Source organism: Homo sapiens, chromosome 15, assembly GCF_000001405.40.
Source record: "Homo sapiens chromosome 15, GRCh38.p14 Primary Assembly".
NCBI classification, from domain to species: Eukaryota; Metazoa; Chordata; class Mammalia; order Primates; family Hominidae; genus Homo; species Homo sapiens.
Window position 1 is genome coordinate 69,473,575 of NC_000015.10, and position 12,256 is coordinate 69,485,830.

The window sequence follows — 12,256 nt, forward strand, 5'->3', positions numbered from 1 at the left end:
CCAGGCTGGAGTGCAGTGGCGCTACCTCGGCTCACTGCAACCTCCACCTCCTGGGTTCAAGCGATTCTCCTGCCTCAGCCTCCTAAGTAGCTGGAATTACAGGCATACGCCACCAACCATGCCCGGCTAATTTTTGTATTTTTTTTAGTAGAGACAGGGTTTCACCATGTTGGTCAGGCTGGTCTCAAACTCCTGACCTTGTGATCCGCCCACCTTGGCCTCCCAAAGTGCTGGGATTACAGGTGTGAGCCACCGCACCCAGCCTTGAGCCACTGTGCCTAGCCCACCTGGCTCAATTTTAATAATGTATTTTATTTAACTCAATATATCCAAAATATTGTCATTTCAACATGTGGCAGTAGCCACACTTCAAGTGCTCAATGGCTACATGGACTAGTGGCTACTGTAGTGATGGGACATTCTTCTAGAACGTTCTTTCTATTTTTTTTTGAGACGAAGTCTCATTCTTTCACCCAGGCTGGAGTACAGTGGCGTGATCTCGGCTCACTGCATCCTCTGCCTCTGCCTCCTGAGTTCAAGTCATTCTGGTACCTCAGCCTCCCAAGTAGCTGAGATTACAGGCTCATGCCCCCATGCCTGGCTAATTTTTGTAGTTTCGGTAGAGATGGAGTTTCGCCATGTTGACCAGACTGGTCTCGAACTCCTGAGGTCGAGTGATCCGCCCACCTCAGTCTCCCAAAGTGCTGAAATTACAGGTGTGAGCCACCATGCCTGGCCTCTCTAGAATGTTCTTTATCCTCATGCCTCAAGGAGGGAGTGACACAGTGGGTTTTTGTTGAAGAAATACCCTCCAGCTCCTGGAAAAGTGGAAAAGTGCCTGAGGGAGGGAGGTGGGGAGACCCGTGGAGGCAGTGCAGGAAGCACCGACCTAGGCGTGAGACGGAGAGGAAAGCTCAGCTATGAAGGAGGATTGTTTTTTAATGACTGTCTCCAAAGGAAGTTGTGATTCAGCCTCCTGAGAAGATGTGATATCAGCAGGAATCCCCACTCCTCGTGAGAGCCCCAGAATTGTCTTGAGCCCTAAGACAAGGATATAAATTTAGGGAAGTCATCATAGACAATTTTGCTCTCAAACTCAGGGTGCTTGACTGGGCACAGTGGCACACACCTGTAGTCCCAGCAATTCGGAAGATCAAGGCGGGAGGAACGCTTGCGCCTAGGAGGTCAAGACTGCAGTGAGCTGTGTTTGCACCACTGCACTCTAGCCTGGGTGACAGAGCAAGACCCTGTCTATAAATAAAACAAAACAAAAAGCCACCCAGGGTGCCACCATCCGCAGCCCCATGTCAGGTTCAGATCCCATCCCTCCCTCCCAGCCTGCATTTCCAGAGGCCGTCTTGACTCCTTGACTGAGACAGCATCCACCTTTCTGCTCTCTGCCTGTTTCTCACAGATGGGGAGGGCTGAGCTCAGGGGCCGACTTTGAGCCACTGTCCCTGGGGCTCTGTCCTTGTCCTGAGCTACCCCTCAGTTCCAGCTGCAGATCTAGAGCTGCACCCTGAGTCAGCAGTGGGACCTGAGTCTCAAAACGGCAGAGGAGTCCTGGCTGTCTGCTGAGGTAGTGCATGAGGAAATGGATTCCTCGTGCTGGCTGGGTGGCCTCTGGCCTGTCATTTGTCCTCTTTGGACCCGTGCTTCTCACAGCATAGTCTGTGGACTGCATTGGCTCTCAAAATATTGTTACTTGTCTATATGGAGACAGGTACAGTAAGTACCTGCTGAGAATGTAAGAGTAAACATAGAGACTTTTGGCAGGGTGCAGTGGCCCAAGCCTGTAATCCTGGCACTTTGGCAGGCCAAGAGGAGAGGATCGCTTGAAGCCAGGAGTATGAGACCAGCCTGGGCAACATGGTGGAATCCTATCTCTACAAAAAAATACAAAAAATAGTCAGGTGTGGTGGTACACGCTACTCAGGAGGCTTAGGTGGGAGGATGCCCTGGGTGGGGAAATGGGGAGAGATGTTGGTCAAAGGGTAAAAGTTTCAGTTAGACAGAAGGAATACCTTTTTTGAGGTCTATTGCACAGCATGGTGACTATCCTTAATAATAATGTATTGTATATTTCAAAATTGCTAACAGTGTACATTTCAAATGTTCTTACCACAAAAATGGTAAGCGAGATGATGGATTTGTTAAAATTAGCTAGACTTTATCATTCCACATTGTATACATATATCAAACATCACATAAGACCACATAAATGTATGCAATTAATAATAAAAAATTATAAACAGGAACAAAAGACCAGTGGCAACCTGGTCCTTCTTCAGAGAGGGCTTGGGAAGTCCTGCCTCCACCCGCTTTCCAGTGGGGTGAAAGGGAGGTGAGCCTTGCAGTTCTCCTTTGGGGCAGGAGGGGGCGGCAGATACACGGGTAATCCATCTTTCCCTGCAGGACCGGTTCCTTCATTCTTCAAGCATCCTCCATTTGGCACCTTCTGGATGCTGGGGACACAAGGAGAAAGAGAGGCTTTCTCCTTCTTCCTGTTTTGCCTCAGTCCAGGGCAAAGCCACCAGGGAGAGTGTCCAGGAGAGCTGTCTACATGGAGATGACACAAAACGTGACCCCTGCCAGGGGCTCTTCTCCCAGGAGGTGTAGCTGCGTGGCTTGAGTGTATAGCAGAGGCCTGAGTTGGGCTTTCTGGGTTCGAATCCTGGCTCCTTCTCTAGTTGCTGTGAGACGTAGGAAAGGCTTTGGAGTCACCCCCAAGCCCAGCTTCTTCAAGTGTAAAGGGGGCATGTTAATGGTAGCTGCCCTACAAGGGTATTGGGGGATTAAAGGATAATTCTTTTTTTTTTTTTTTTTTTTTTGAGATGGAGTTTCACTCTTGTTGCCCAGGCTGGAGTGCAATGGTGCATTCTTGGCTCACAGCAACCTCCGCCTCTCAGGTTCAAGTGATTCTCCCACCTCAGCCTCCCAAGTAGCTGGGATTACAGGTGCATGCCACCATGCCTGGCTACTTTTTTTGTATTTTTAGAAGAGACGGGGTTTCACCATGTTGGTCAGGCTGGTCTCAAAGTCCTGACCTCAGGTGATCTGCCCGCCTCGGCATCCCAAAGTGCTGGGTGTGAGCCACTGCGCCCGGCAGGAGATAATTCTTATAGAGCACTTAATACTGTGCCTGGCCTGTACAGACACCTGCCCAAGCAATGTGTTCATTATTTTTGACAGTCTCATCCTGTCTTGCTTTCTCTCAGCTCCTGTGAGGTTGAGAAATGTCACTCTTCTTTGATAGGCACTTTTCCTGAGGGCAGCCAGTTCCGCCAGTCACTCTGACTGTTGGACCCTTTGACATAGTGAGATTTGGCTCAGTCCTCACCTCCTCCAGGAAGTCTGCCGAGATGATCCCAAGTCCTAAGAGCCTCCTCACTGTAGCCTCGTTTTTTCAATGATTAATTCCTAATTTGTCTAATTTCTTCCTCCTGCATGTCACCCCAGCCCTGCACAGACTCTGCACGTTCCATAGTGTACAAGGCATTGTCCTAGCCATCTTGCTGCCAGAAGACACTGTGAGGGTTGCAAGCCTGGCACCGGGAGCCAGCCTGCCTGGGTTGGAATTCTGGCTCCACCTCTGGCCAGCTGTGTGGCTTTGGGCAAGTTGTTTGACTCCTCTGGGCACCCAGCCCTTGGTTTCCCTGTTCTATCTTGCATATTACTGTGATATGAGTGAAGTAATGCAGGTGAAGGCCAGGTACCCGCATTGAGCAAGTGCCCAATAATCCCAGCACTTTGGGAGGCCGAGGTGGGCGGATCACTTGAGGTAAGGTGTTTCAGACCAGCCTGCCCAACATGGTGAAACCCCATCTGTACTAAAAATACAAAAATTAGCTGGGCATATTGGCGGGCACCTATAATCCCAGCTACTTGGGAGGCTGAAGCACGAGACTTGCTTGAACGTGGGAGGCAGAGATTGCAGTGAGTCCAGATCGCACCACTGCACTCCAGCCTGGGTGGTAGAGTGAGGCTCTGTCTCAAAAAAATATATAATAATAATAATAAAAAATAAATAAATAAAAGTCAGGCCAGGCGTGGTGGCTCATACCCGTAATCTGAGCACTTTGGGAGGCCGAGGCACGTGGATTACTTGAGGTCAGGAGTTCTAGACCAGCCTGCCCAATATGGTGAAACCCTGTCTCTACTAAAAATACAAAAAAATTAGCCAGGCGTGGTGGCACACGCCTGTAGTCCCAGCTACTTGGGAGGCTGAGGCAGAAGAATCATTTGAACTCGGGAGGCAGAGGTTTCAGTGAGCCAAGATTGTGCCACTGCACTCCAGCCTGGGCGACAGAGCGAGACTCCATCTAAAAAAAAAAAAAAAAAAAAAAAAATTCAGCAGAAGAGAACACTGCGGCTCAGGAAGAAGAGCTTGATTATTAAGTACCTACCAAATGCAGGGCCCTAAACATACACTATCTCATTTTTTCTTCCCAGAAGAAAGGTAGGCACTTTTGTCTCCATTTTGCACATGAGAGACTCAGTTGCACAAGTCTGCAGGACCACGGAGAACAGGAGTTTTTCCCGATATGAAGTATCTGACAGTTAGTATCTGATACAAAGTCCAGAGTTCCTCTTTGCCGGTTTTGTGATGGAAGGATAAAAAGATGTGGGTTTTTTGGGGTCCCCTAGGCATAGACCTAGAAGGCCAGAAATAAACATTTATTTTCCTCTCTGTTTTGCCTGAAAACCAAGAGGGCTTTCAAGAGGATAAAGGTGTTAGTGGGAAAGTGGGGGTCTCATTCGAGGACCCCCAAGGGTCTCTTGTAACAGGTGGCCCTGCAGCATTAAAGGCTCTTGCAGAAGAGCGTGGGAGTGAGCAGCAGGGGGCGCTACGCCCTCGGCAGAGAGACGCAGCTTCCCTGGGGAAACAGACCCCGGGCTTTGAGTGCTTAGGAGCGGAGCTCAGCCTGAAATAGACAGGCAGCAGCATCCCAGCCCACTCACCTACTGAGGAAACTTGAACCTGAGAGCTGAGAGCTAGAGGGACCTCCCGAAATCAGGATCAGTATGGTCATTGCAAGCACTGGCTTTGGAGTTTGTGGATTTGTAATTGAAAATCCGCTCAGCACTTTCTAGTTACGTGACCCCGGGCAGGTACTTAACCTCTTGGAGCCTCAGTGGCCTCATTGAACAAAAATTAACACCTGTTTCATGGGGCTCTCAGGAGGATCAAGGCAATGATGCGTGTAAATTTCTTAGCATAGTGTCTGGCATCTATGAGCACTCAATGAAGGGCAGCCAGTGTTGCTATTAAGGGTCATGTGATTTGCAGGGTAGTCCCAAAGAGGCGAGGCCCCTGCCCTTCAGTGTCTAGAGCCCCTGTGCTGCTGTGGACACCTGCTTTGGTTCTTCAGTGGGGCTCACTTTCTGGGACACTGGAGTATCTGAGTCTCTTTCTGCCAAGGAAACTGCCCACGCCCTGACAGACTTGCTTGTCTCCAGATGCCTAAGAATCCCATTTGGGCCAACAGGTTTGCTGGAGGTCAGTGGGGAGGAGGAGGGCAGTGTGGTCCCTGCTCTGCTATGAATTTGCTGAGGCCTGTGTTGCCTGGAATAAGTCCCTTGCCCTCTCTGGGCCTCGATTTCTTCACTTAGATCCAGAGGAGCTGCAAGAGATAAGTGTTGGGATCCCTCTCAGTCCAGCTTCAGCATCCTGCGAGTGCGTCCCCATCCAGGAAACATATGTGCATTTTAACGGGGCCCTTTGCTGGCTAAATGTGAAAGTGTGGTTTGAGGTAAAGAACAGATAGGCTTCTAGCTAAGGCCCATGGACAAGACAGCTTTTGGACAACTTTTCTCAGTAAAGAGGTGGCATGGGCCTTCCACACTGTCCAACATGCCTTTCCTCTGTCCCTCCTGGATTACATTGTCCCCAGGATCAGGGTCCCTATCCTCTCTCCACACCACTCAGCACAGTCTGCTGTAAGGAAGGGTCTGAGAGAGTAGTTTTCCCTAAGGCATGAATGACTATTAGGGATGGAGCTACCCATTCTGAGGAGATTTGAACTTGGGCAGGCATAGTTTTTTATCCAGAGAAATTAGACTCTATTTATGAAATCCCAGCAAGAGACTTTGAAACTGGAAGGATGTTGCCTCCATTCAAGTCACAGCAGCCTCATTGCCTGGCTTTGCTCGGGCAGGTGTGGCTGCCAGGGCAACTGGTTCAAAAACCTGTGGCACACAGAACGAAGAAGAATGAAGACACTGGACGTCATCAGAATCACAAACTTTTGTGCTTCAAAGGATACCATCAAGAAAGTGAAAGATTATCCCACAGAATAGAAGAGAATATTTGCAAGTTGTGTATCTGACAATAAACTTGTATCCAGAATATGTGAATAACTCTTACAACTCAACAACAAAAAGACAAATGCCCAATTTAAAAATGGGCAATGGACTTGAAAAGACATTTCTCCAAAGAAGATATACAAATAGCCAACAAGCACATGAAAAGAGCTTGGTGTCATTAATCATTAGGGAAATGCAAATCAAAACCACAATGAGATACCACTTCATACTCACTAGGATGGCAATTATTAGAAAGATGGATAACCATAGGTGTTGACGAGGATGTGGGGAAATTGGAGCCCTCATGCGTAGTGGGTGGTACTGCAGCCACTTTGGAAAAACAGTTTGGCAGTTACTCAAAGAGTTAAACAGAGTTACCATATGACCCAGCAATTCACTCCTAGGTGTATACTCCAGAGAATCAAAAATAGATCTACACAAAACCTCCTATGTGAATATTCATAGCAGCATTACTCAAAATAGCTAACAAGAGGAAATACCATCCATCAAATGATGAATTGATAAATTAGTATATATCCATACAATGATTTGAATAAGTGAATTCAGCCATTAAAAAGGAATGATGTACTTATACAGGCTACAACATAGATGAACCTTGGAAATATTATGCTAAGTGAAAAACCCAGAGACACAAAAGGCCACATACTGTATGATTCCATTTATGTGATGTCCAGAATAGACAGATCCATAGAGACGGAAGTAGATTAGTGGTTGCTGGGGCTTGAAGGAGAGGGGGATGGGGCATGACAACTAACAGGTACAGGGTTTGTTTTTAGGGCAATGAAGATGTTCTAGAATTAGATAGTGGTGATGGTTGTACAACTTTATGAATGTGAATGTACTAAAAACCACTGAATTGTACACTTTAAAGAGCAAATTTTTATGATATTAGAATGCCATTGCACTTTTTTTTTTTTTTTTTCAAAAGCTCACAGAAGCTGGGTGTGGTGGCTCTCGCCTGTAATCTCAACACTTTGGGAGGCCGAGGTGGGAGGATTGCTTGAGTTCAGGAATTCAAGACCAGCCTGGGTAACATAGCAAGACCTTGTCTCTGCTAAAAATTAAAAAAAATATCTGGGTGTGGTGGTGTGTGCCAGCTACTCAGAAGACTGAGGTGAGAGGATTGTTTGAGCCTGGGAGGTTGAGGCTGCAGTGAGTCATGCCCCTGCACTCCAGCCTGGGTGACAGAGTGAGACCTTGTCTCAAACTGCACCCATGTCTTACAAAAGAAAAAACTAACAAAGCTCATGGAAAGAATGGGGAAGTTCTTGAAACCTTCAATAAATGATAAATGCCCCATTCCCGCACCCAACCCACAGCTACCCTAGTGTATGTGGTGACTCTTCTTTAGGGCAAATTTTCCATGCAGATGGGAACGCCCCGGGAGGCCCTTTAAAAATGTGTGTGTAGGGTATTTCTGGTGGTCACAATGTTAAGAAGCCACTGCTGGCATGATTGGGTGGCCTGTGAGAAACCAAGGGTACAAGACACTCTACAATGCGTGGGTCATCTCACAATAGGGGACTGTCTTGCATTCCACGTGACTTTCGAATGTCTCTCAGGACACTGATGTAGATTAGATGATTATCTAATCTGAAAACTCAACTTTGCTTTACATAATAAACATCAAGCATATTTGCAAGGCTTTAAAGTATACCAAATTTTCCAAGAATATAGCTGCCCTGTCAGTTGGGAAGACTGCATGACATCTCCTGTTTAATGTCAGTAATCTATCCCCCACAATGAGATGTTCTGTGTGAAAATGCTTCTGGGAACATATTTCCTTTCCTTTCATCTCTTTTTGTTTATAGTCTTTCCATTATTCTTAAAGGGAAAAAAGTTATATTGTTACTGGTTAACCCAGCCCCTTAACCAATTTCCTAAATTCTAACTAAAATACAGTAAAATGCTTATATTTGTAACCAACAGTCATACTAGGTTGTAAGATGCTTAAAGCTTTGCTTCTTGGTCACCACATAATTAATATAGACATTAACAAGCAGTTGCTCTGTAAACAGGAACCTGGCCTCTCTTAGTACCAGCAACAGCCAAGCGGCACCACCCACTTCATTGTCACCGTCATGTTTTTCTTTCCTTCTTTCTTTCTTTCTTTCCTTTTCTTTCTTTCTTTCTTTCTTTCCTTTCTTTCTTTCTTTCTCTCTCTTTCTTTCTTTCCTTTTTTTTTTTTTTTTTTTTTTTTTTGAGATGGAGTCTTGCTCTGTCACCCAGGCTGGAGTGCAGTGGCTCAGTCTCAGCTCACTGCAACCTCTGCCTCCTGGGTTCAAGTGATTCTCATGCCTTAGCCTCCTGAGTAGCTGGGATCACAGGTGTGTGTCACCATGCCCAGCTTATTTTTGTATTTTTAGTAGAGACAGAATTTTGCCATTTTGGCCAGGCTGGTCCCAAACTCCTGGCCCAAAGTGATCTGCCCACCTTGACCTCCCAAAGTGCTAGAATTACAAGCACAAGCCACCACGCCTAGCCACCACTTTCATGTTTTTCAAAACATAACTTCTTTCAGACAGTCTACTAATTGTATTTAGAATGCACCTTAATTCTCTTCCTGTACATTATTCCTTTAAAAAAAGTTATATTGAATTTTGGAGACATATACACACATTTTTCCCCATGTAAATACCGGCCAACAAGCCCTGGAGTGAAGATACATATGTTCTGTTAAGGAGTGGTTGTGCAGGGAGAATGTTACCTGGGGTGGAGTTCTGAGGGTAGACCTGAGCTTTGTTTCTCCGAGCACAGGAGGTAGTATGATTTTCTAGTCCTGTTGCAGCTTGAAGGACTTTGGAGAATGTCTCATTCTTTTTCAGTTCACAGGGAAAGGGCAAAGAGGCCTGGAGATTTCTCCAGGGTCATACAGTGCCCATGGTAGAACTGAGCTGGGAACCCAGGCACCTAGCATCCAGATGGACGGCAGCTCTGGGCTTTACGCCAGGATCTCAGGCTGGCAAATTGGAATACAGGCCACCAGACAGGTCTGGTGGATCAGTCACTTTGCCTTAAGCAAAGCAACCTCCAAACATCAAGTAACTAATGTATCGTGTTGTCCCTGCTAGTGGAAGGTTAGTGACTCTTGGTAAACACACCTACTGGCTATTTATAGAACTCAGTCTAGGGACCAGACTGGGCCTTTCAACACAGTCAAGTCAGGATGTGGGAGCCAAGCAGAGAGGCTGGGAGGTGGGGCCCAATGGTCTGCAAAGCCTGCGCATCTGCTGCTGGGATGGGGAGTTCAGGGCACTCCTGGCTTCCAAGAAAGCCAACCCCACAGTCCCAAGGTGCTTCTTCCCAGATGGCATTGCAGATACATCTTGATGAGGGTATCCTAGCCTGGTTTCCCCCGAGCAGGGCCCAAATCAGAGGCTTTTGCAGGATGAGTTCTTTGAGTACATTCCTAGGAAGCTGGGAAGGGGGCAACTGGTCCAAGGAGGCATGACGGACTTGCTTCTGCTCAATATGGTGGGGCCTTATAAGAAGCCTCCTGAAAATGAGTCCCAGAACTGCCTGCCTGGGAAAGAAGGGATGCCATTTATTCATCCCCCCTTTGATCCGGGTAACCCATGAAGTGTTTATGCTACATTGCATTTGGGTGAGCACCAGGTGGGTTCGGGGCCACTCAGGCAGGAAAGCCTGGGGCAGATGAAAGAGGGCAGGGAGGAGTCAGAGGTGAGACTGGGACAGCTTGCACCTTCACAAAACAAGCAAAGCTGCGTGGAGCTGGTAGCTTCGGGGCTGACAGGGATGAGAAAGAAGGACAAGGGGGTCTGCAGTGGTGTCAAGAGGGCATTGGTACAAGTGGCTGGGGGAGATGAAACTAGGAGCAGATTAGCAGTTGGTGGGAGTCCAAATTCCAGAACACGTGCAATGTGTCTCTTGCCCTGTGCGCAGTGCAAAGGGAAAGGTATAATATATCACAATCAAAAGACAGAAGATTTCAATCTCCCCAGAAAGTTCTCTGTGTCCTGTTTTACCCGCCCTCCATCTGCTTTTGATTCTGATAGCAAGAGTGTTATTTGGTCCCTCTTCCCATTCTTTTTTCTCTCCCTCTCCCTCCATCTCCTTCCATCATTCTCTCTGTTCCTTCCGCTGTGCCCCTTTCTACTCTCCTAAGCTTGCTGGGAGCCTGGCTCACCTGCTGAACTACACTGGATGCTCTTTGAGAGTAGAAGATGCACCGTGTTAGCTTTTCCATCTGCTCCCATCCCCTGTGAACATGTATCTCAGATGGCAGCCAGTGGCCCCAGCCCCTGAAAATCTGAAAGGGCGTGACTGAAGTCCTCATTTCATGCCTGAGGGAACCCAAGGCCCTGTAAGATGCAAATTCCTGCAAACTGTCCCCATCCACGTTGGCTTCAGACTGCTGCCTCAGTGGCGTCTGATTTTCCTTTCACTGTGAGTTTCAGCTGTTTCTTTATCTCTTCCCTGCAGTTGGCCCAATCGTAGGGCCTGGAACTTTCTCCTTAATCTTCCCATTCTAAAGCCACTGCAGGTAGTAGAAAAGCGACAGAAGATTCTTGGGTCACCAGGAGGTGTCTCAATGTGCTCCAAACAGCGATAACATCAAAAACCTTTCACGTTTTACATTTTACTTTGAAAAAGTTCTGCCAGCCTCCATGTCAACTGGCTAGTCCTTCCCCTCCCTTTTGAGTGACGAACTTCCCCCAACACCTGTGGGTCCAGGCCATCGCACTCTGGAGCAAACCAGCCAGGTTCTTTCCATTCTGGACCAGCTCTGCAGGACCAAGGCCACCTGTGTTCTCAGTCAACACTGTAGCAGAGTTCACCATCAGCAGGAGGTGCTGGAGCTACGGCTCCCATGGGACCCCAGAGCCTCCTCCATGGTTCCCTCAGGATTCTGGAAGCTCCATCCTGTTAGGTTTGGCCAGAGGCTCCCTGCCTCAGGGGCCTTCTCTCTCTTCATGTCAGCTCCAGTGGGACCTGGCATAGCTTCATCCTGGGATTGGAGTCAGATCTCAAACAAACCGCCTTTCTCAGGGAGACAAGCACCCCAGAATCCACTAATCTCCTTCTCCAGCAGCATCGTGTTGCTCTTTGTGATCTTAATCTCTCTTGGCAGACCATGCTGGAAAAAGTGCCAGGGGAAACAGGATCTTTCTGGGTAAAGCCAGGGCTACCTCCCAGTCCACTCCCTCACACCACTGGGTGTGCCCTGCCCAGGAAGGAGCGCTTCCTTACAGTGGCGCCTAGCCACAGCCCCACAATTACAAGCTCACGAGTTCTCAGAGCTCCCTCTAACTCTCTCTTCGGCTCTGCCAGCCCAGTGCTAGGCTCTGGGCCACTGGGGTTCAGTGAAGGGTCTCCCAGCTCATGTCCCCTCTGCATGGAGGAGGATGTATGGAGAAGAGGGAAGGGAAAGAATTGGGCTTCCAGATCAGAGGATCTGGGCTTGCCCGCTTTGCCCAGGCAGGGTAGGTCACCATGTAGCTGGCTATGTGACCATAGGCCTCAGTGTATGCATCTGTAACCAGGGCATAATATGCCACAATCAAAGGATAGAACATTTCAATCTTCTCTTTGATTGAAGTTCTCTCATGTCCCTTTGTACCTGCCTTCCACCTGCTTTCGGTTGGGGTAGCTGGAGTGTTGGATGATGGAGCTATACAGACAGATTATTTCGTGTCTGGCTCTTGCACTCGGCGTGATGTCTGTGAGACTCAACTATGTTGTTGGGTAGATCAGTTGTTTGTGCCTTTGTCATGCTGAGGAGTAATCCATTGTATGGATAGACCAGAATTTGTTCATCCATTCACCTGTTGTTGGACACCTGAGCTATTTTTGGCTTTTTTCCAGTTTTGGCTATTATGAATAAAGCTCCTAGAAACTGCCATGTACAGATTTTTGTGTGAACATAAGTTTTCATTTCTCTAGGGTAAAACCAGGGAGAGCAATGACT